Source organism: Homo sapiens, chromosome 8 (assembly GCF_000001405.40).
Source record: "Homo sapiens chromosome 8, GRCh38.p14 Primary Assembly".
Lineage (NCBI taxonomy): Eukaryota > Metazoa > Chordata > Mammalia > Primates > Hominidae > Homo > Homo sapiens.
The window spans coordinates 12,541,615-12,561,199 of NC_000008.11; the positions used below are offsets into that span (position 1 = coordinate 12,541,615).

The 19,585-nt window shown below is 41.7% G+C and overlaps 2 long non-coding RNA genes across 3 annotated transcripts in view, besides 3 other annotated features; one reads left to right on the forward strand and one right to left on the reverse strand.

Annotated features, from left to right (window-relative positions):
* The window catches only part of FAM86B2-DT (FAM86B2 divergent transcript), a 129,833-nt gene that overhangs the window by 104,602 nt on the left and 5,646 nt on the right, over window positions 1-19,585 (forward strand). The window contains exon 7 of one of the 2 annotated variants that reach the window (NR_040091.1): window positions 7,873-9,435. The exons of the other annotated variant lie outside the window; for it this stretch is intronic. This is a non-coding gene — a long non-coding RNA (FAM86B2 divergent transcript). Of the gene's footprint in view, window positions 1-7,872; window positions 9,436-19,585 lie in introns of those variants that run through there. 2 annotated transcript variants of the gene reach the window in all.
* Window positions 1-19,585, reverse strand: part of LOC729732 (uncharacterized) — a 128,533-nt gene that overhangs the window by 4,536 nt on the left and 104,412 nt on the right. The window lies entirely within an intron of this gene.
* Window positions 1,553-2,053: an enhancer, noted in NCBI's record as "H3K27ac hESC enhancer chr8:12400676-12401176 (GRCh37/hg19 assembly coordinates)". NCBI's record gives its function as "activates a minimal SCP1, AML or CMV promoter by ChIP-STARR-seq in naive H9 embryonic stem cells {active_cell/tissue: H9 hESC(naive)}" and the evidence as "EXISTENCE:reporter gene assay evidence [ECO:0000049][PMID:30033119]".
* Window positions 2,054-2,554: an enhancer, noted in NCBI's record as "H3K27ac hESC enhancer chr8:12401177-12401677 (GRCh37/hg19 assembly coordinates)". NCBI's record gives its function as "activates a minimal SCP1, AML or CMV promoter by ChIP-STARR-seq in naive H9 embryonic stem cells {active_cell/tissue: H9 hESC(naive)}" and the evidence as "EXISTENCE:reporter gene assay evidence [ECO:0000049][PMID:30033119]".
* Window positions 5,770-6,561: an enhancer, noted in NCBI's record as "H3K27ac-H3K4me1 hESC enhancer chr8:12404893-12405684 (GRCh37/hg19 assembly coordinates)". NCBI's record gives its function as "activates a minimal SCP1, AML or CMV promoter by ChIP-STARR-seq in naive H9 embryonic stem cells {active_cell/tissue: H9 hESC(naive)}" and the evidence as "EXISTENCE:reporter gene assay evidence [ECO:0000049][PMID:30033119]".

Below are 19,585 nucleotides of genomic sequence, written 5' to 3' on the forward strand. Positions count from 1 at the left end.
AAAAATAGCTGGGAGTGGTGGCACACGTCTCTAACAACCCAGCTCCCCAAGTAGCAATTCCTGTCCCTTTTAAGGGCTCACAACCCTAAGGGGGTCCGCGTAAGCGGGTCGTGATCATGAGAGTCGTGATCGATTGACCAAGAAGGGAGTACGTGACTGGGGGCTGCATTCAGCAAACCCCATCTCTACTAAAATAGCAAAATTCAGCAAAGTCTCAGGATAAAAATCAATGTGCAAACATCACAAGCATTCGTATACACCAATAACAAACAGAGAGCCAAATCATGAGTGAACTCCCATTCACAATTGCTTCAAAGAGAATAAAATACCTAGGAATCCAACTTACAAGGGATGTGAAGGACCTCTTCAAGGAGAACTACAAACCACTGCTCAAAGAAATAAAAGAGGATACAAACAAATGGAAGAACATTCCATGCTCATGGGTAGGAAGAATCAATATCATGAAAATGGCCATACTGTCCAAGGTAATTTATAGTTTCAGTGCCATCCCCATCAAGCTACCAATGACTTTCTTCACAGAATTGGAAAAAAACTACTTAAGTTCATATGGAACCAAAAAAGAGCTGGCATTACCAAGTCAATCCTAAGCCAAAAGAACAAAACCGGAGGCATCACGCTACCTGACTTCAAACTATACTACAAGGTACAGTAACCAAAACAGCATGGTACTGGTACCAAAACAGAGATATAGACCCATGGAACAGAACAGAGCCCTCAGAAATAATGCCGCTTTATCTACAACTATCTGATCTTTGACAAACCTGACAAAAACAAGAAATGGGGAAAGGATTCCCTATTTAATAAATGGTGCTGGAAAAACTGGCTAGCCATATGTAGAAAGCTGAATCTGGATCTCTTCCTTACACCTTATACAAAAATCAATTCAAGATGGATTAAAGACTTAAATGTTAGACCTAAAACCATAAAAATCCTAGAAGAAAACCTAGGCAATACCATTCAGGACATAGGCATGGGCAAGGACTTCATGTCTAAAACACCAAAAGCAATGGCAACAAAAGCCAAAATTGACAAATGGGACCTAATTAAACTCAAGAGCTTCTGCACGGCAAAAGAAACTACCATCAGAGTGAACAGGTAACCTACAGAATGGGAGAAAATTTTTGCAATCAACTCATCTGACAAAGGGACCAATGACTTTCTTATAACCAAGAGAATATGGCAGAGGTGATGGGATGTAGTGATTATGTTAGATAGGATGTTAAGTTGTCTTGCTAGGAGGTTATCTTGCTGGCTTTGAAGATGTGAGCTGCCATGTCATGAGTGGCCAGATGGAGAGGCCCATGTGGCAAGAAGCTGAGGACAGCAAGAACCTGGGGCCCTGAGTCCAGCAGCCTGCAAGGAACTGAATGCTGCCAACAACCAGATGAGCCTGGAAGCAGATCAATCACCAGTCAAGCCTCCAGATGAGAACTGAGCCCTGGCTGACATTATGGTTGTAGCCTTGCACTGAACCCAGCTGAGTCACGCCTGGATTCCTGACCCACAGAAACCACATAGTGATAACTGTGTGCTGTCTCAAGCCACAAAGTTTGCAGTAATATTGTTGCACAGCAATAGATAACTAATATGAAAACTGTCCTACATCATGTACATTACTGAGTGAAATGTAGAACCTGGATTTAAGCTCTGATTTCAGAGTTGTGGTTTCAGTCTCCCCAGGGAGACCTGTCCTGGGAGACAGTTATGCCAGGCTGTGATGCTGTGATGATTGTTCTCTTCCTACCCAGAAGCTTTCAATAGGCATGTCAAGCATGTGACCCCAGCTACATATACCAAATATATTTCTGACAAATGACAGGACATCATGAGCTTTCTTGTTTTACTGAGAGCTCCATAAAGGAAGGATCATCTCTGTCTCTTTGTTTTTTTTTTTTTGTTGTTGTTTGTTTTTTAAGAGTCTCACTCTCACCCAGGCTGGGGTGTAGTGGTGCGATCTCGGCTCACTGCAGTCTCTGCCTCCTGGGCTCAAGGGATTCTCCAGCCTCAGCCTCCTGAGTAGCTGGGATCAAAGGTGTGCATCACCGCACCCAGCTAATTTCATATTTTTGGTAGAGACGGGGTTTACTCATGTTGGCCAGGCAGATCTTGAACTCCTGGCCTCAAGCGATTCGCCTACCTCGGCCTTCCAAAGTGCTGGGATTACAGGCATGAGCCAATGCACCTGGCCTGTCTTTTTTATGTTATGTCCATGTGAAACAGCCCAGTGGTCAGCACACAAAGGGGTCCAAATGTGAAAGGAAAGGGCAAACACGGGAAACCTAGGGGTGTTCAGAAATAGTTCCCAGGTCATTGCCTGTTTCAATATGTACAGTCCTGGGCCACACGCACAAGATTCTGTCTTAGCAGGTCAGAGTTAGAGATGGGGAGCTACCTGGTTACGAGAGATCCCAGTGCATTTTGAGGCAGCTGGTTGTTAAGACTGCATTGTAAAAATTACAACCCAAAGATGTGAACGGAAACAGAAAGACATTGGCAGGCTAGAAAACAACACAAGTAAAACATGAACAAGTTCATTCCAGAAGGAGATTCTCAACCACAGCTGCACATCAGAATCACCTGGGGAGATTTTAAAACCCCCAATGCCCGGGCTCTGCAGCCCAGATCAATTATTAAAGAATCTCTTGGGGATGAAACATGGGCATCAGTATTTTTGGTTTGTGTGTGTGTGTGTGGTTTTTTTTTTTTTTTTTTTTTTGAGATGGAATCTTGTTCTGTCACCCAGGCTGAAGTGCAGTGGTGCGATCTCAGCTCACTGCTACCTCTGCCTCCCGGGTTCAACCCATTTTCCTACCTCAGCCTCCCAAGTAGCTGGGATCACAGGTGTGCACCGCCACGCCTGGCTAATTTTTGTATTTTTAATAGAGATAGGGTTTCACCGTGCTGCCCAGGCAGGTCTCGAACTCCCAGCCTCAGGTGATCTGCCCACCTTGGCCTCACACAGTGCTGGGATTACAGGCATGAGCCATTGCTCCTAGCAGTATTTTTTTAATGAGGCAAAATTCACATAACATACAAGTCCCTGTATGAAACCATACACTTCAGTATCATTAAATACATTCACAATATTAAGCAATCATCATCTCTGTCTAGTTCCAAAACATTTTCATTAACACCCCCGCCCCCCAAAAAAATAACCCTGTATCCATCAAGCATTCTCCATCCCCTCCCCTTTCCCCCAGCTCCTGGCAACCACTTACCTGCTTTCTGCCTCTATAGATTTGCCTATTCTGGGCCTTTCACATAAATGGAATCATGCAATATATATAATAACCAAAAGGTAGCAACAACCAAGATGGCCATTTGGTTGACGAATGAACAAACAATATGTGCGGTATCCATACAATGGAAATATTGGTGCCTACTACATGTGGATGGACCCTGGAAACATCATGCTAAGTGAGAGAGAGCCTTGGTATTGTCTCTTCTCCCCAGGAGATTCCAAGATGCAGCCAAGGTTGAGACCCACTGACAAGCAATGGATACGATCGGGTGCAGATGAAATAAGGCAGCCAGGGGCAGGAGGGACGTCTCATTGAAGACGACTATTTGTGGATGCCTAGCAGGGGTGGGGATGAGGGATGATAACAGCAACCCCAATCCCAACACTGCGTGACCGATTTTATCTTCAGCCAGCTGATACGCCTCATGGGGTTTGGACACAGGACAACTCTGCCTCCCAGGTTCAAGCAATAACACCTGCCTCAGCCTCTTAAGTAGCTGGGATTACTGGCATGTACCACCACGCCTGGCTAATTTTTGTATTTTTAGTAGAAACGAAGTCTCGTCATGTTGCCCAGGTTGGTCTCGAACTTCTGGCCTTAAATGATCCACCCACTTCAGCCTCCCATAGTACTGGGATTACAGGCATGAGCCACAGTGGCAGCCTCCAAATTGTATTTGAAGTTTGACTTTCCACCTCCAGAAAATCCAACCTTTTCCCAAGTCACAGTGGGACACCCCGGAGATAATTTGAGAGAAATATGCTTTTAAAAACAACTCAAGGCCAGGCGCAGTGGCTCACGCCTGTAATCCTAGCACTTTGGGAAGCCGAGGCGGACAGATCACGAGGTCAGGAGATCAAGACCATCCTGGCCAACATGGTGAAACCCCGTGTCTACTAAAAATACAAAAAATTAGCCGGGCATGGTGGCACATGCCTGAAAGCCCAGCTACTAGGGAGGCTGAGGCAGGAGAATCGCTTGAACCAGGGAGTCAGAGGTTGCAGTGAGCCGAGATCGCACCACTGCACTCCAGCCTGGCGACAGAGAGAGATTCCGTCTCAAAATAGATAAATAAAACCCTCCGATATGAACACCAAACTAGAATCATTCCACTGATTTCCCTCCGCCAATCAGGGGGAGTTATGGTGATGGTGCATGAGTGTCTATTTGCATTGAGTCTTAATGGAAAAAAAGGTTGTGTCACTCAAAGGAAAAACAAATCACAGCCCAGACTGGAGCTGTGGATTAATAACATGGCTGAGTGTTGGTACAGGCTTTCCACAGCAATATTAAAACTGAAAAAATCAGCAATGAAGCTCCCAGCCACATTTCTGCCAAATGATTTGGGGGAAAACAACAGAGGCACTCCTCAACTTTTCCTTCGCTGCACAAAGTGGGTTTGGCTGGAAATGCCAAGTGTACTTGTTGCTAGGATCTTTCAAATGAAAGCAAGCTGGGAGTCAACCTCCTGCAGCCGCAGGCCAGAAATGGGTTTAGACCAAACTAGTATAGTAACACTGGTGCACATCGAAACAGATTTAACTCCCTCCCAGCAATCCAGATTAATTTAATATGCTTTCTTATTGGCATTCTGCATTTTTCATTAAAGCAAATAAACATCCATCCCTCTGTGATAAGTTAGGGCAAAAAAAAAAAAAATTCATATGTTTAGGTCATAGGGAAGGAGGAGTTGTTGGCTGTTAAAAAAATACTGCAAATGGCCTTTGAAAGTCTAGACATCTTCATCATAAACACAAACATTCCTCTTCACAAAGGGACTTCAAGTAACCTTAGGCTGGAGGGCCCACTTGAGTATGTTTTTCTTCTCATTCTTTCTTACCTTCCCTCCAGCCAACCCAACCCACATTCAGTGACCAAGTCACGTGGGTTTTACCTCCTAAATCTTTTCAGATCCGTTCACTGCTCAGCCACTCTCCTGACACCACCATAAACCAAGCCACCATCACCTCCAGCTGTTTGACTGCAAAGGCCTCCTCATTGGCCTCTGTCTTCCCCTGGCCCTGTGACAATCTGCACTCCTCACAGGGACCAAAGCGATCACTTCAGAAGGTGCATCCAAACCGATCACTCGCTTTCAATGGCTCCCTCTGCTGTGTGGGTTGACAACGATAAAAGCTCGGCCGGGCGCGGTGGCTCACGCCTGTAATCCCAGCACTTTGGGAGGCCAAGGCGGTCGGATCATGACATGAGGAGATCCAGACCATTCTCCCTAACACGGTGAAACCCCGTATCTACTAAAAATACAAAAATTTTAGCTGGGCGTGGTGGCGGGCGCCTGTAGTCTCAGCTACTTGGGAGACTGAGGCAGGAGAATGGCGTGAACGCGGAAGGTGGAGCTTGCAGTGAGCCGAGATCGCGCCACTGCACTCCGGCCTGGGCGACAGAGTGAGACTCCATCTCAAAAAAAAAAAAAAAAAAAAAGATAAAAGGTCACCTTTACTGAGCACACCCTATCTCAGTCCATCCCTACATCAGCCCTTTATTTCACCAGTGGGGAAGCTGGGACACAGAGTAGTTAGGTGGGATGCCCAAGGTGGGACCACTCGTGTGAAGTTTCCACACCCTAATGTGAGACCCTCCATGACCTAGCCCCTCTCTTTCTCCAGCCTCATTTCCTGATTCTCTCGCTTGGCCTGCAGGCTTCAGCCACACAAACTTCTTTAAAGTCCCTTAAATCTGGCTGAGCGCAGTGGCTCACACCTGTAATCTCAGCACTTTGGGAAGCTGAGGCGGCTGGATCACCTGAGATCAGGAGTTCGAGACCAGCCTGGTCAACATGGTGGAACCCCATCTCTACTAAATATCCCAAAATTAGACAGGTGTGGTGGATGGCACCTGTAATCCCAGCTACTCGGGAGACTGAGGCAGGAAAATCGCTTGGACTCGGGAGGCAGAGGTTGCCATGAGCCAAGATCGCACCACTCCACCCAAGCCTGGGCGTCAAGAGTGAAAGTCCGTCTCAAAAAAAAAAGTCCCTTAAATCTGCTCTATGCCTATCAACCTCAGGGACTTCACTATGCTGTTTCTCACCCTGAAATGCTGTTCCTCATTTCTCTACATAGTGAACTCATCCCACCCTCTAGGCCTCTCCTTAAGTGTCATCACTTCAAGGAAGATTTTACTTTTTTAATATAACTATTAAAATATAATTCAGGTACCGTATGATTTGCCCATTTAAAGTGAACAAATCAATGGTTTCAGTGCATTCACAGAGCTCGGCAACCACCATCATGATCAATTTTCAAACATTTTCATCACCCCAAAAAGAAACCCTGTATCCATGAGCAGGTTCCTGCCATTTCCTCCTCCCACTAAGCCCTGACAATCTACTTTTTTTTGAGATAGAGTATCTGTCACAGGCTGGAGTGCAGTGGCACAATCTCGGCTCACTGCAACCTCCGCCTCCCGGGTTCAAGCAATTCTCCTGCCTCCAGAGTAGCTGGGATTACAGGGATGTGCCACCACGCCCATCTAATTTTGTATTTTTAGTAGAGGCAGGGTTTCTCTCTTCATAGATTTGCGTGTTCTGGACATTTCATATAAATGACATCTTAGAATATGTGACCTTTTGTGACTGGTTTCTTCCACTTAGCTTAATATTCTCATAGTTCATCCGTGTTGTAGCACGTGTTAGTACTTCATTCCTTTTGATGACTGAATAATATTCCATTGCATGATCAAACCATGTTCTATTTCTCCACTCATCAGTAGACAAGCATTTGTGTTGTTTTCACTTTGGCGCTATTATGAATAATGCTGCTATGAGCATTTGTGTACAAGTTTCTGGACGGACATATATTTTCATTTCTTTCATAAACTGGAGTGGAAGTGCTGGGTCATAGAACTCTGTGTTTAAGCTTTTGAAGAAGTGCCAGACTGTGTAAGAAAGAAAGCCTTTCCTCACCCTGTGAGACTGAGCTCCCTCTCTCCATTTATACATTCTCTTTAAGCCCTTTGCTTCTCTTTCAGAGCAATTCACGTTGACCTGGGTCACCCTCAACTTAAGGCTCATAACTCCCCTAGATCCTCAGGGTCCACACTAAATGTGATGAAATATGATGCAAGCCACATATTTACATTTGCATTTTGTAATAACCACATTTTAAAAAGTAAAACAAAAGAAGTGAAGGTAATTGGAATAATATCACAGATTTAAACAAATCTATCCAAAATACCAGGTCTACATGTATAAAATTTTTTAACAGTAACAAAATACTTTGCTTTCTTTTTATATTAAGTCTTCACAATCTAATGTGTATTTGACACTTCTCGCACATTTCAGAATGATGGCAGCAGCCCATATGGGTGGCCCGCCCATGATGCCAAAGATGGGCCCTCCTCCTCCTGGGATGATGCCAGTGGGACCTGCTCTTGGAATGAGGCCGCCCATGGGAGGCCACATGCCTGTGATGCCTGGGTGCCCAATGATAAGACCTCCTGCCCGTCTCATGATGGTGCCCAGTCAGCCCAGAATGACTTGACCAGACAGATAAGGATAGAGGGGAGGCCTCATTGCATCAGTGTTGTTTTGTTGTTGTTATTGTTGTGTTTTTTTTGTTTGTAATGTTTTGTTTTGTTTTTGAGACAGAGTCTTCCTCTGTCGCCTAGGCTGGAGGGCAGTGGCATGATCTCAGCTCACTGAAACCTCCACCTCCCGGGTTCAAGCGATTCCCCTGCCTCAGCCTCCTGAGTAGTGTGGGACTACAGGCGTATTCACCATGCCCGGCTAATTTTTTTTATTTTAGTAGAAACGGGGTTTCACCATGTTGGCCAGGATGGTCTCAATCTCCTGACCTCGTGACTCGCTCGCCTCAGCCTCTGAAAGTGCTGGGATTACAGGTGTGAGCCACTGCGCCTGGCCTATATGAATTTTATATTTACCTGCTCCCTTCACCAGGAGATCATGCTGCTGTGATGTCGAGTTTTCTTAACAGCATAAGGAAGACTTGCCCTCTTGCCCTATCAAAGAGAATAGTTTTGGAGGGGAGAAGTGGGACCAAAAAAGATGCAGTTTTCATTTGTATTGGGAAATGTGAAAATAAAATTGACAACTCTTTTAGTTAAAAACAAAAAAAAGAAAAGGAAACAAGATGTGGGGCTGCCATATGTAATACCGTGGATTCCACGGATCTTCTACTCTGGAGGCAAATATTATCTTTGCTGAAGCCAGACCAACCTGACACAAAGACCTTTTGTTTTTTTAATGTGACTGTGTTTTATTTTAGAATGTGTAATTCACTTTAGAAGGGCAAAGTACCTGTCTGGGGAAGACTATTTAATTTCCTGCATTTATTTAGAATGTTGGCTGATGTTATTATGAAGGGAAACAGCTCTAACAACTGAGTGCCCCCCACATAGCCACAGCTCATGAGTTCACGGGGCAAAGGAAATGAACAGCAGCCTCCTAATAGCCAGCCTTCTTTGTGATGTGGAAATAATTATCAGCATGTAAAAGACTATATATATATTCAACAATTCTGATCCCCTGAAAAATTCAAATCTACAACTGATTTGCTTCCTGGGCTCCTGAAAACAACTTTGTCAAAATTGTTCAGAAATATAATCAGCCAATCGTTGCCCCTTGGGGACGCAGGATAAAGCAAGTCAGCCATGACCAATGAGGAGTCGGCCGTGCACAATTACATGCAGACCTGCAGGACATCGAGTCCCTGCTATGGTCCCTCCCCAGTCAGACCCCCATTGCCTGGGCTGCAGCCAGAAGCATTCAGGCACAAGTGCATTCAACAAATACTTATTTAATTGTATTGGTGGTTAGAGGGTTGCGATTGATTAAGGCACATTAATGGATCCGTGTCCTCCCTGTATCCAAGATTCTGCCATTTGTCTCTGCAGTTCCTCCCACTGAAGAATCGGAGTATATTTCTCCAGTCCCTAATGTTGGGTTTAGTCATGTGTCTAGCTTTGGCCACTGGAATATTAATCTGTATGACCAAAAACTTGGAAAGTGTGAATTCATTTCTGCTCACTCACTCCTGCTATCACCATGAGAACAAGCCCAGGCCAGACTGCTGCTTCCAGCAGAAGAGACAGCAAGAGCAACGTCGAGCTTCCCAGACATGCTCATGCTAGATTGACCAATCCTCAGCTGACCCATAGATCCATGAAAATAAACGATTGTTGTATTAAGCCACTGAGATTTGGAGTGACTTGTTATGCAGCATTTTGTGACAACAACTAACTGACACAAGAGTCACCGTCCTTTATCTCTGTAGATTTTAACCAATTTTAATAGCTAGATGGAGATCTTCTAGTTGCCTTTATTTATAATGAATATGACTGTAGAGCTAGTTTGGCCTGACACTACCAGTAACCTACCCAGAAATTCAGAAATACTTTCTTCTCCAACCCGCCCAAACCAACTTTTTGTTTGTTTGTTTTTGGGTTCTCCCTCTTTGCCTAGGCTAGAGTACAAATGGTACAGTCAGAGCTCACTGTAGCCTCAAAATACTGGGCTCAAGTGATCTTCCCCTTCAGCCTCCTATGTAGCTAAGACTACAGACATGTGCCACCATGCCTGGCTAATTTTTTTATTCTTTGCAGACAGAGGGTCTCACTATATTGCCCAAGTTGGTTTCAAACTCCTGGCTTCAAGCAGTCCTCCTGCCTCACCCTTCCAAAGTGCTAGGATTATAGGCATGAGCCACCACACCCAGCCTCTTCTTCTTTTTAAATAGAAACCTTATTTTATTCTGACAGTGGGTTGCTTTTTTTTTTTTTTTTTAAAGAAAAAGTTGGCCCAGCCCCAGGGAATAAATTTTGACTGCTCTAAACAACCATAGACCAAGGGCCAAATCTGGCCCTCTGACTGTATAAATTAAGTTTTACTGGAATAAAACCAGGTCCATTGATTTATCCATTGTCTACATACGCTTTTAGGCTACGATGGCACCACTGTGTCACTACAAAAGAGGTTATCTAGACAAAAAGCCTAAAATATTACCGTTTGCCTCTTTATGGAAAAAGTTTGCCATTCCCTAGTCTAAGGTTTAGATTCTGAGCTTATCATGTTATCCTACCCCCCCTCACCAGTGACTGGCTCAAAACAAGTCTGTGATTCCATTCTGACTGTTCTACTGAGGGAATTCCGCCTTCTTCTCATGCAGAGCTGATGAGGGTAAGTTGTATTAATAGGACATATGCTCAGGTTTTCTGAAAAATACTTTTATCTAGAAATGCATAGGAATATGCTGGTGCCTGAATGTACCATCCGGGGACCTGGAGATTGACTCACCTGCCTCCAGAGCTGGTGCTCACACTTACTACTGAGAGGCCTGAGGAAACGCCTGCCTACCCACCACCAGAACCTGTATAGGTCACCTGGAGAACTAGAGATCAGCCTGCCACACACACCACCCAGGAGCCCAGTGGTGCACCTGCCCATCTGGCCCACTGCCAGCAACCAAAGAAGCCACCTGGAGTCCCAGGGATTGGCCCACACAGACAGGCTATCATCAGTGCCCACAAACGCTGCCCATGGTCCCTAGTATTGACACACCTGGTCCACCGCCACTACCACTGATGCTGAAGGACAAGACTTCCTGGCATCCCCATCCTCAGCAAAGCCTCACCAAAGCCTCCAATAACAACTGCAGTCTGGCCAAGTGTGGTGGCTCACGCCTGTAATCCCAGCACTTTGAGATGCCGAGGCGTGTAGATCACGAGGTCAGGAGTTCGAGAGCAGCCTGGCCAACATGGTGAAACCCCGTCTCTACTAAAAATACAAAATTTAGCTGGGCATGGTTGCACGTGCCTATAGTCCCAGCTACTCAGGAGGCTGAGGCAGGAGAATTGGTTGAACACGGGAGGCAGAGGATACAGTGAGCTGAGATTGTGCCACTGCACTCCAGCCTGGTGACAGAGCTAGACTCCATCTCAACAACCACCAAAAAAAACCACTGCAGTCTAAGCCACTGAATGACTCACAGGCACCACCCATGCCAATTACAGCTGAAGGAATCATATGCAAACTATACTACTGTACCCACCCAGAATCAAAGCCAAAGTGTGATATCCAATGAACACTGTAGATACAGCTGTAAGAAAAGGTCTTTCCCATATAAAAGCCAATCCATAAAATTGGAAGAAATGACTGTTATGTCAGAGGCACAGATAGTCACATAAGGATGCAAGAAATATGAAAAAGGAAACATAACATCTCAAAGAAGCACAATAATTCTCCAGCAACAGATCCAATGAAAAGAAAATCTATGAAATACCTGAAAAAAATTCAGAATGATGTTATTAAAGAAACTCAGGGAGATACAAGAGAACACAGATAATGAATACAAAAAAAAAAAACAAAAACAGGAAAACTATTCATGATCTGAATGACAAATTCAACAGAGATAGACAGCATAACAAAGAACCAAACACAAATCCTGGAAGAGAATAAATCATTGAAATAAATACAAAAGATAATTGACAGCTTTAACAATAGACTAGATCAAGCAAAACAAAGAATTTCTGAACCTGAAGACTAGTCTTTTAAAATAATCCAGTCAGACAAAAAGAAAGAAAAAAGAATGAAGCAAGGCTACATGACATATGGGACACATATGTGACCAAAAACTGAAATTCTGGGAGTTCTGGATGGAGATGAGATGGGTAAAGGCATAGAAAACCTATTTAATGAACTAATAACTGAAAACTTCCTGAATGCTTCCAAATGCAGGAAGCTCAAAGATTACCAAGTAAATACAACTCAAAATGGTCTTCTCCAAGGCACAATATGGTAAAATTGTCAAAAGACAAAGAGAAAATGCTAAAAACAGCAAGAGAAAGGCATCAAGTCACTTATAAGAGAATCTCCATCAGGCTAACGGGGAATTTCTCAGCAGAAACCTTACTGGCTAGGAGAAAAGGGGATGTATATTACAAGTACAAAAAAAAAAAATAATAAAAAAATGTAAGCCAAAAATACTCTACCCAGCAAAGCTATCCTTCACAAATGAAGGAGCCTGGCACAGTGGCTCACATCTGCAATTCCAGAGACTCAAGGCTGAGGCAGGAGGACCATTTGATCCCAGGAGTTCAAGGCTGCAGTGAGCTATGATCATGCCACTGTACTCCAGCCTGGGTGACAGAGTGAGACTCCATTGCTAAAAAAAAAAATAGTAATAATAAAAGGGAAAAAAGTATTTCCCAGATAAGCAAAAGACTGTTTGTTTGTGTCTTGTTTGTTGTGGTCCTATAAGAAATGTTTAAGGGAGTCCTACATTGGGAAGTGAAAGAACAATATCTACCATCATGAAAATACATGAAAGTATAAAACTCACTGGTAGTTCAGACACACAAAGAAGAAAGGATTCAAACATCACCACTAAAGAAAACCACCAAACTGCAACCATAAATAATGAGAGAAAAAAGGAACAAAGGTGTATTAGTCTGTTTTCACACTGCTGATAAAGACATACCTGACTGAGACTGAGCAATTTACAAAAGAAAGAGGTTTAATGGACTTACACTTCCACATAGCTGAGGAAGCCTAAGAATCACGTTGGAAGGCAAGAAGAAGCAAGTCATGTCTCACATGGATGGCAGCAATCAAAGATAGAGCTTCTGCAGAGAAACTACCCTTTTCAAAACCATCAGACCTTGTGAGACTTATTCACTATCATGAGAACAGCATGGGAAAGACCTGCCCCCATGACTCAATTACTTCCCACCAGGTCCCTCCCACAACATGTGGGAATTCAAGATGAGACTTGGGTGGGGACACAACCAAACCATATCATTCTGCCCCTGGCCCTTCCCAAATCTCATATCCTCACATTTTGAAACCAATCATGCCTTCCCAACAGTCCCCCAAAGTCTTAACTAAGTTCAGCATTAACTCAAAAGTCCACAGTCCAAAGTCTCATTTGAGACAAGGCAAATCCCTTCTGCCTATGAGCATGTAAAATCAAAAACTAGTTAGTTACTTCCTAGATACAATGTGGGTATAGGCATTGGGTAAATACAGTCATTCCAAATGGCAGAAAATTGCCAAACAAAGGGGCTACAGGACCCATGCAAGCCCAAAATCCAGTGGGGCAGTGAAATCTCAAAGCTCCAAAATGATCTCCTTTGACTCCATGTCTGACATGCAGGTCATACTGATGTATGACCATGGCCTTGGGAGAAAAAAGGCCACAGCTCCACTCCTGTGGCTTTGTATGGTTTAACCCCCCTCCTGGCTCCTTTCACGGGTTGGCATTGAGTGTCTGCAGCTTTTCCAGGCACACAGTGCAAGCTGTCAGTGAATCCACCATTCTGGGGTCTGGAGGATGGTGGCCCTCTTCTCAAAGCTCCACTAGGTGGCGCTGCAGTAGGGACTCTATGTGGGGGCTCCGACCCCACATTTCCCTTCTGCACTGCCCTAGTAGAGTTTCTCCATGAGTGCCCTGCCCCTGCAGCAAACTCCTGCCTGGGTATCTAGGAATTTCCATACACCTTCTGAAATCTAGGCAGCAGTTCCCAAACCTCAATTTTTGACTTCTGTGCACCCACAGGCTCAACACTATGTGGAAGCTGCTAAGGCTTGGGGCTTGCACCCTCTGAAGCCACAGCCCAAGTTGTACCTTGGCTCCTTTTAGCTGCAGCTGGAGTGGCTAGGACTCAGGCACCCTAGGCTGCTCACAACAGGGGTCCCTGGGTCTAGCCCACAAAACCATCTTTTCTTCCTAGGCCTCTGGACCTTTGATGGGAGGGGCTGCCATGAAGACCTGTGACATGCCCTGGAGACATTTTCCCCATTGTCTTGGGGATTCACATTTGACTCCTCGTTACTTAAACAAACTTCTGCAGCCAGATCGAATTTTTCTTGAGAAAATGGGATTTTCTTTTCTATTGCATTGTCAGGCTGCAGATTTTCCAAACTTTCATGCTCTGCTTCCCTCATAAAACTGAAGGCCTTTAACAGCACCCAAGTCATCTCTTGAATGCTTTGCTGCTTAGAAATTTCTTCTATCAGATACCCTAAATCTCAAGTTCAAATACCCTATCAGTTACCCTAAATCTCTCAAGTTCAAAATTCCACAAATCTCTACAGCAGGGGCAAAAAGCCACCAGTCTCTTTGCTAAAACATAACAGGAGTCACCATTGTGCCAGTTCCTAACAAGTTCCTCATTTCCATCTGAGACAACCTAAGCCTAGACTTTATTGTCCATATAACAATCAGCATTTTGGGCAAGTCTCTAGGAAATCTCTTCCAAATTTTCCCACATTTTCCTGTCTCCTTCTGAGCCCTCCAAACTGTTCCAACCTCTGCCTGTTTCCCAGTTCCAAAGTCACTTCCACATATTCAGGTATCTTTTAGCAACACCCCACTTCTGGTACTAATTTACTGTATTAGTCCATTTTCACACAGCTGATAAAGACACATTCAAGACTGGGAAATTTACAAAAGAAAGAGGCTTAATGGACTTACAGTTCTACATTGCTGGGGAGGCTTCAAAATCATTGCGGAAGTCAAGGAGAGGCAAGTCACATCTTACAGGGATGGCAGCAGGCAAAGAGAGAGCTTGAGCAGGGAAACTCCTCCTTTTAAAACCATCAGATCTCATGAGACTTATTCACTATTAAAAGAATAGCATGGGAAATACCTGCCTCCATGATTCAACTACTTCCCATTGGGTCCCTCCCACAACACATGGGAATTCAAGATGAGATCTGAGTGGGGACACAGCCAAACCATATCAAAAGGATATACAAAATAACCAGAAAACAATGAACAAAATGACAGGAATAAATCCTCGCCTATCAATAATAACTTCGAATATGGGTTAAATTACCTACCTAAAAGATACAGTCAGGCTTAATGGATAAAAAGTGACCCAACATCACTTCCCTTGTAAAGACACACACAGACTGAAAGTGAAGGGATGGAAAAAGATATACCACACAAACAGAAATCAAAAATAATCAGGAGTAGCTAAACTTACATCAGATAAAACAGACTTTAAGTCAAAAACTGTAAAAAGGACAAACAAGATCATTATATGGTAATAAAGGGATCAATTCAGCAACAAAGTATAACAATTCCAAATATGCATGCAACCAACACAAGCGCATCCAGAGACATATAGCAAATATTATTAAATCTACATGGAGAGATAGAGTCCAATAAAATGATAGTTGAGAACTTCAATATCCTACTCTCAGCATTGGACAGTTCATCTAGACATAAAATCAACAAAGAAACATTAGATTTAAGCTGCACTTTGGACCAAATGGACCTAACAGATATTTTCAGAATAGTTCATCCAGCAGCAGCAGAATATACAATCATCTCATCAACACATGGAATATTCTCCAGGATAGACCATATGTTAGGACACAGAACAAGGCTCAATAAAATTTTAAAAATTAAAATCATATCAAGTATCTTCTCAGACCACAAAGGAATAAAACTTGAAATCAATAAGAAGAAGAAATTTGGAAACTGTACAAATATATGGACATTAAACATGCTATTGAATAATCATTGGGTCAATGAAGAAATTAAGATGGACATCAAAAAAATTTTTTAAACAGAAAATGGAAACACATCATGCAAAACCTATGGGATACAGCAAAAGCAGTACTAGGAGGAAAGTTTATAGCAATAAATGCCTACACTAAAAAAGTAGAAAGATTTCAAATAAACAACCTAATGATGCACCTCAAGGAACTCAAAAAGCAAGAACAAATCAAACACACAATTAGTAGAAAGAAAAAATATAAATAACATAGCAGAACCAAATGCAACAGAGACAAAAAAAAATGCAAAGAATCAACAAGATAAAAGTTGGTTTTTTGAAAAGTTAAACAAAATTGATAAACCACTAGTGAGGCTAACCAAAAAAAAAAAAAAGAGACCAAAATAAATACAATCAGAAATGAAAAAGGAGACATTACAAGTGTTACCAAAGAAATAAAAAGGATAATTAGAGGCTATTATGAACAATCATATGCTAACAAATTGGAAAACCTAGAGGAAAGGGATAAATTCCCAGACATACACAGCCTACCAAGGTTGAACTAGGAAGAAACAGAAAACGTGAACTGACCCAAAATGAATAGCAGGTTTGAATCAGTAACAAAATGTCTCCCAAAGGAGAAAAGCCCTAGACTAGGCTTTTATGCTGATTTCTACCCAATTTATAAAGAAAAACAAACACCAATTCTTCTCAAACTATTCCCAAAAATTGAAGAGGAAGGAATTCTTCCTAACTCATTGTATAAGGCCAGCATTACCCTGATATCCAATCAAGACAAGGACACAACAAAAGGAGAAAACTACAGGCCAATATTCCTAATGAACACAGATGGTAAAATTCTCAGCATAATACTACCAAGCCAAATCTAATGATGAATGAAAAAGATAATATACCATGATCAAGTGGGATTTATCCCAGGAATGCAAAGGTGGCTCAACATACACAAATCAATACATGTGATACATCACATTGACAAGATGAAAGGCAAAAACTATCTGATCATCTCAGCAGATGCAGAAAAATCACTCAGTAAAACTTACCATTCCTTCATGATGAAAACTCTCAACAAATTAAGCATAGAAGGAACACTTCAACCTAAGAAAAGGCATATATGACAAATCTACAGCTAACATCCTACTCACTGGGAAAAATTGAAAAGCCTTTCCTCTAAGAACTGGAACAAGAGAAGGATGCCCACTTTCACCACTCTTATTCAACACAGTATGGGACATCCAAGCCAGAGTGATCAGACAAGATAAAGAAAAAAAAGGCATCCAAATGGACAAAAGGAAGTCCAATTGTCTCACTTTGCAAATGACATAATCGTATACCTGTAAACAGAAAAACCTAAAGACTCTACCAAAAAACTCTTAAAATAAATTAGGCTGGGCATGGTAGCTCATGCCTGTAATCCCAGCACTTTGGGAGACCAAGGTGGATGGATCACCTGAGGTTGGGGGTTTGAGACCAGCCTGGCCAACATGGTGAAACCCTGTCTCTACGAAAAATACAATTAGCCAGGCATGGTGGTAGGTGCCTGTAATCCCAGCTACTTGGGAGGCTGAAGCAGGAGAATCGCTTGAAACCGAGAAGTGGAGGTTGCAGTGAGCCAAGATTGCACCACTGCACTCCAGCCTGGAAAACAGAGTGAGACTCTCTCACAAAATAAAAAATAAAAAATAAAAAACATTTTTAAAAAAGGATGTATAATTCAGTAAAGCTTCAGGACACAAAATCAACATACAAAAATCAGTAATGTTTCTATATACCAGTAACAAACTAGCTAAAATAGAAATCAAGGAAGAAATTCTATTTACAATAGCTACAAAAATAAAATACCTAGGAATAAACTTAACCAAGGATGAGGAAAAAAAAAACCCAAAAAACCTCTACAATGAAAACCACAAAACACTGATAAAATAAACTGAGAAGGACACAAACAAATGGAAAGGCATCTTATGCTCGTGGGTTGGAGTAACTAATACTGTTAAAATGACCATACTACCCGAAGCAATCTAGAGATTCAGTACAATCCCTATCAATTATATTCTTCACAGAAACAGGAAAAAAAAAAACCCTGAAATTCATATGGAACCACAGAAGACCCCAAATAGCCAGAGCAATACTGAGCAAAAAGAACAAAGCTAGAAGCCTCACACTACCTGATTTAAAAATATACTGCAAAGAGGCCGGGCGAGGTGGCTCAAGCCTATATCCCAGCACTTTGAGAGGCCAAGGCGGGTGGATCACAAGGTCAGGAGATCGAGACCATCCTGGCTAACATGGTGAAACCCCGTCTCTAATAATAATAAAAAAAAAATTAGCCAGGCGTGGTGGCGGGCATCTGTAGTCCCAGCAGCTACTCGGGAGGCTGAGGCAGGAGAATGGCATGAACCCGGGAGGAAGAGCTTGCAGTGAGCAGAGATCACACCACTGCACTCCAGCCTGGGCGACAGAGCAAGACTCCATCTCAAAAAGAAAAAAAAAAAAAAATATATATATATATATATATATATATATATGTGTGTGTGTGTGTATAAATATATTTGTATATATATGTATATATATACGTATATGTGTGTGTATATACGTATATATGTATGTACGTATATATGTATGTATATATGTATATATGTACGTATGTATGTATATATACGTATATACGCATATATATACGTATATATGTATATGTGTGTATATACGCATATATATACGTATATATGTATATGTGTGTACGTATATATGTATATATTTATATGTATATATACACGTATATGTGTATATATACACGTATACGTGTATATATACACGTATATGTGTATATATATACACGTATATGTGTACATATACACGTATATGTGTACATATATACACGTATGTGTACATATACACGTATATGTGTACATATATACACATATATATGTACATATATACACGTATATATATACACGTATATATACACGTATATATGTATATATATACACGTATATATGTATATATATACACGTATATATACACGTATATATGTATATATATACACGTATATATACACGTATATATGTATATATACACGTATATATGTATATATATACACGTATATATACACGTTATATATGTATATATATACACGTATATATACACGTATATATGTATATATATACACGTATATATACACGTATATATGTATATATATACACGTATATATGTATATATATACACGTATATATGTATATATATACACGTATATATATACACGTATATATGTATATATATACACGTATATATACACGTATATATGTGTATATATATACACGTATATATATACACGTATATATGTATATATACGTATATATACACGTATATATGTATATATATACACGTATATATGTATATATACGTGTATATATATAAGTATATATGTGTGTGTGTATATAGATATACATATATATATGTATTACAAAGCTATAGTAACCAAAACAGCGTGTACTGGTATTAAAACAGACACAAAAACAAAGGAAACAGACTAAAGAATCCAGAAATGAATCCACATATTTACAGCTAACTGATTTTCAAGAAAGCTGTCAAGAACATGCATTGAATAAATGACACCCTCTTCATTAAATGGTGCCAGCAAAACTAGATATCCAAACACAGAAGAATAAAACTAGACCCTTATCTCTCATCACTTAGAAAAATAAACTCAAAATCAGTTAAAGACTTAAATGTAACAGCCACAACTATAAAACTACTAGAAATAAACACAGGAGAAACGCTTGAGAACAAAGATTGTATGGCTAACGCTTAAAAAGTACAAGCAACAA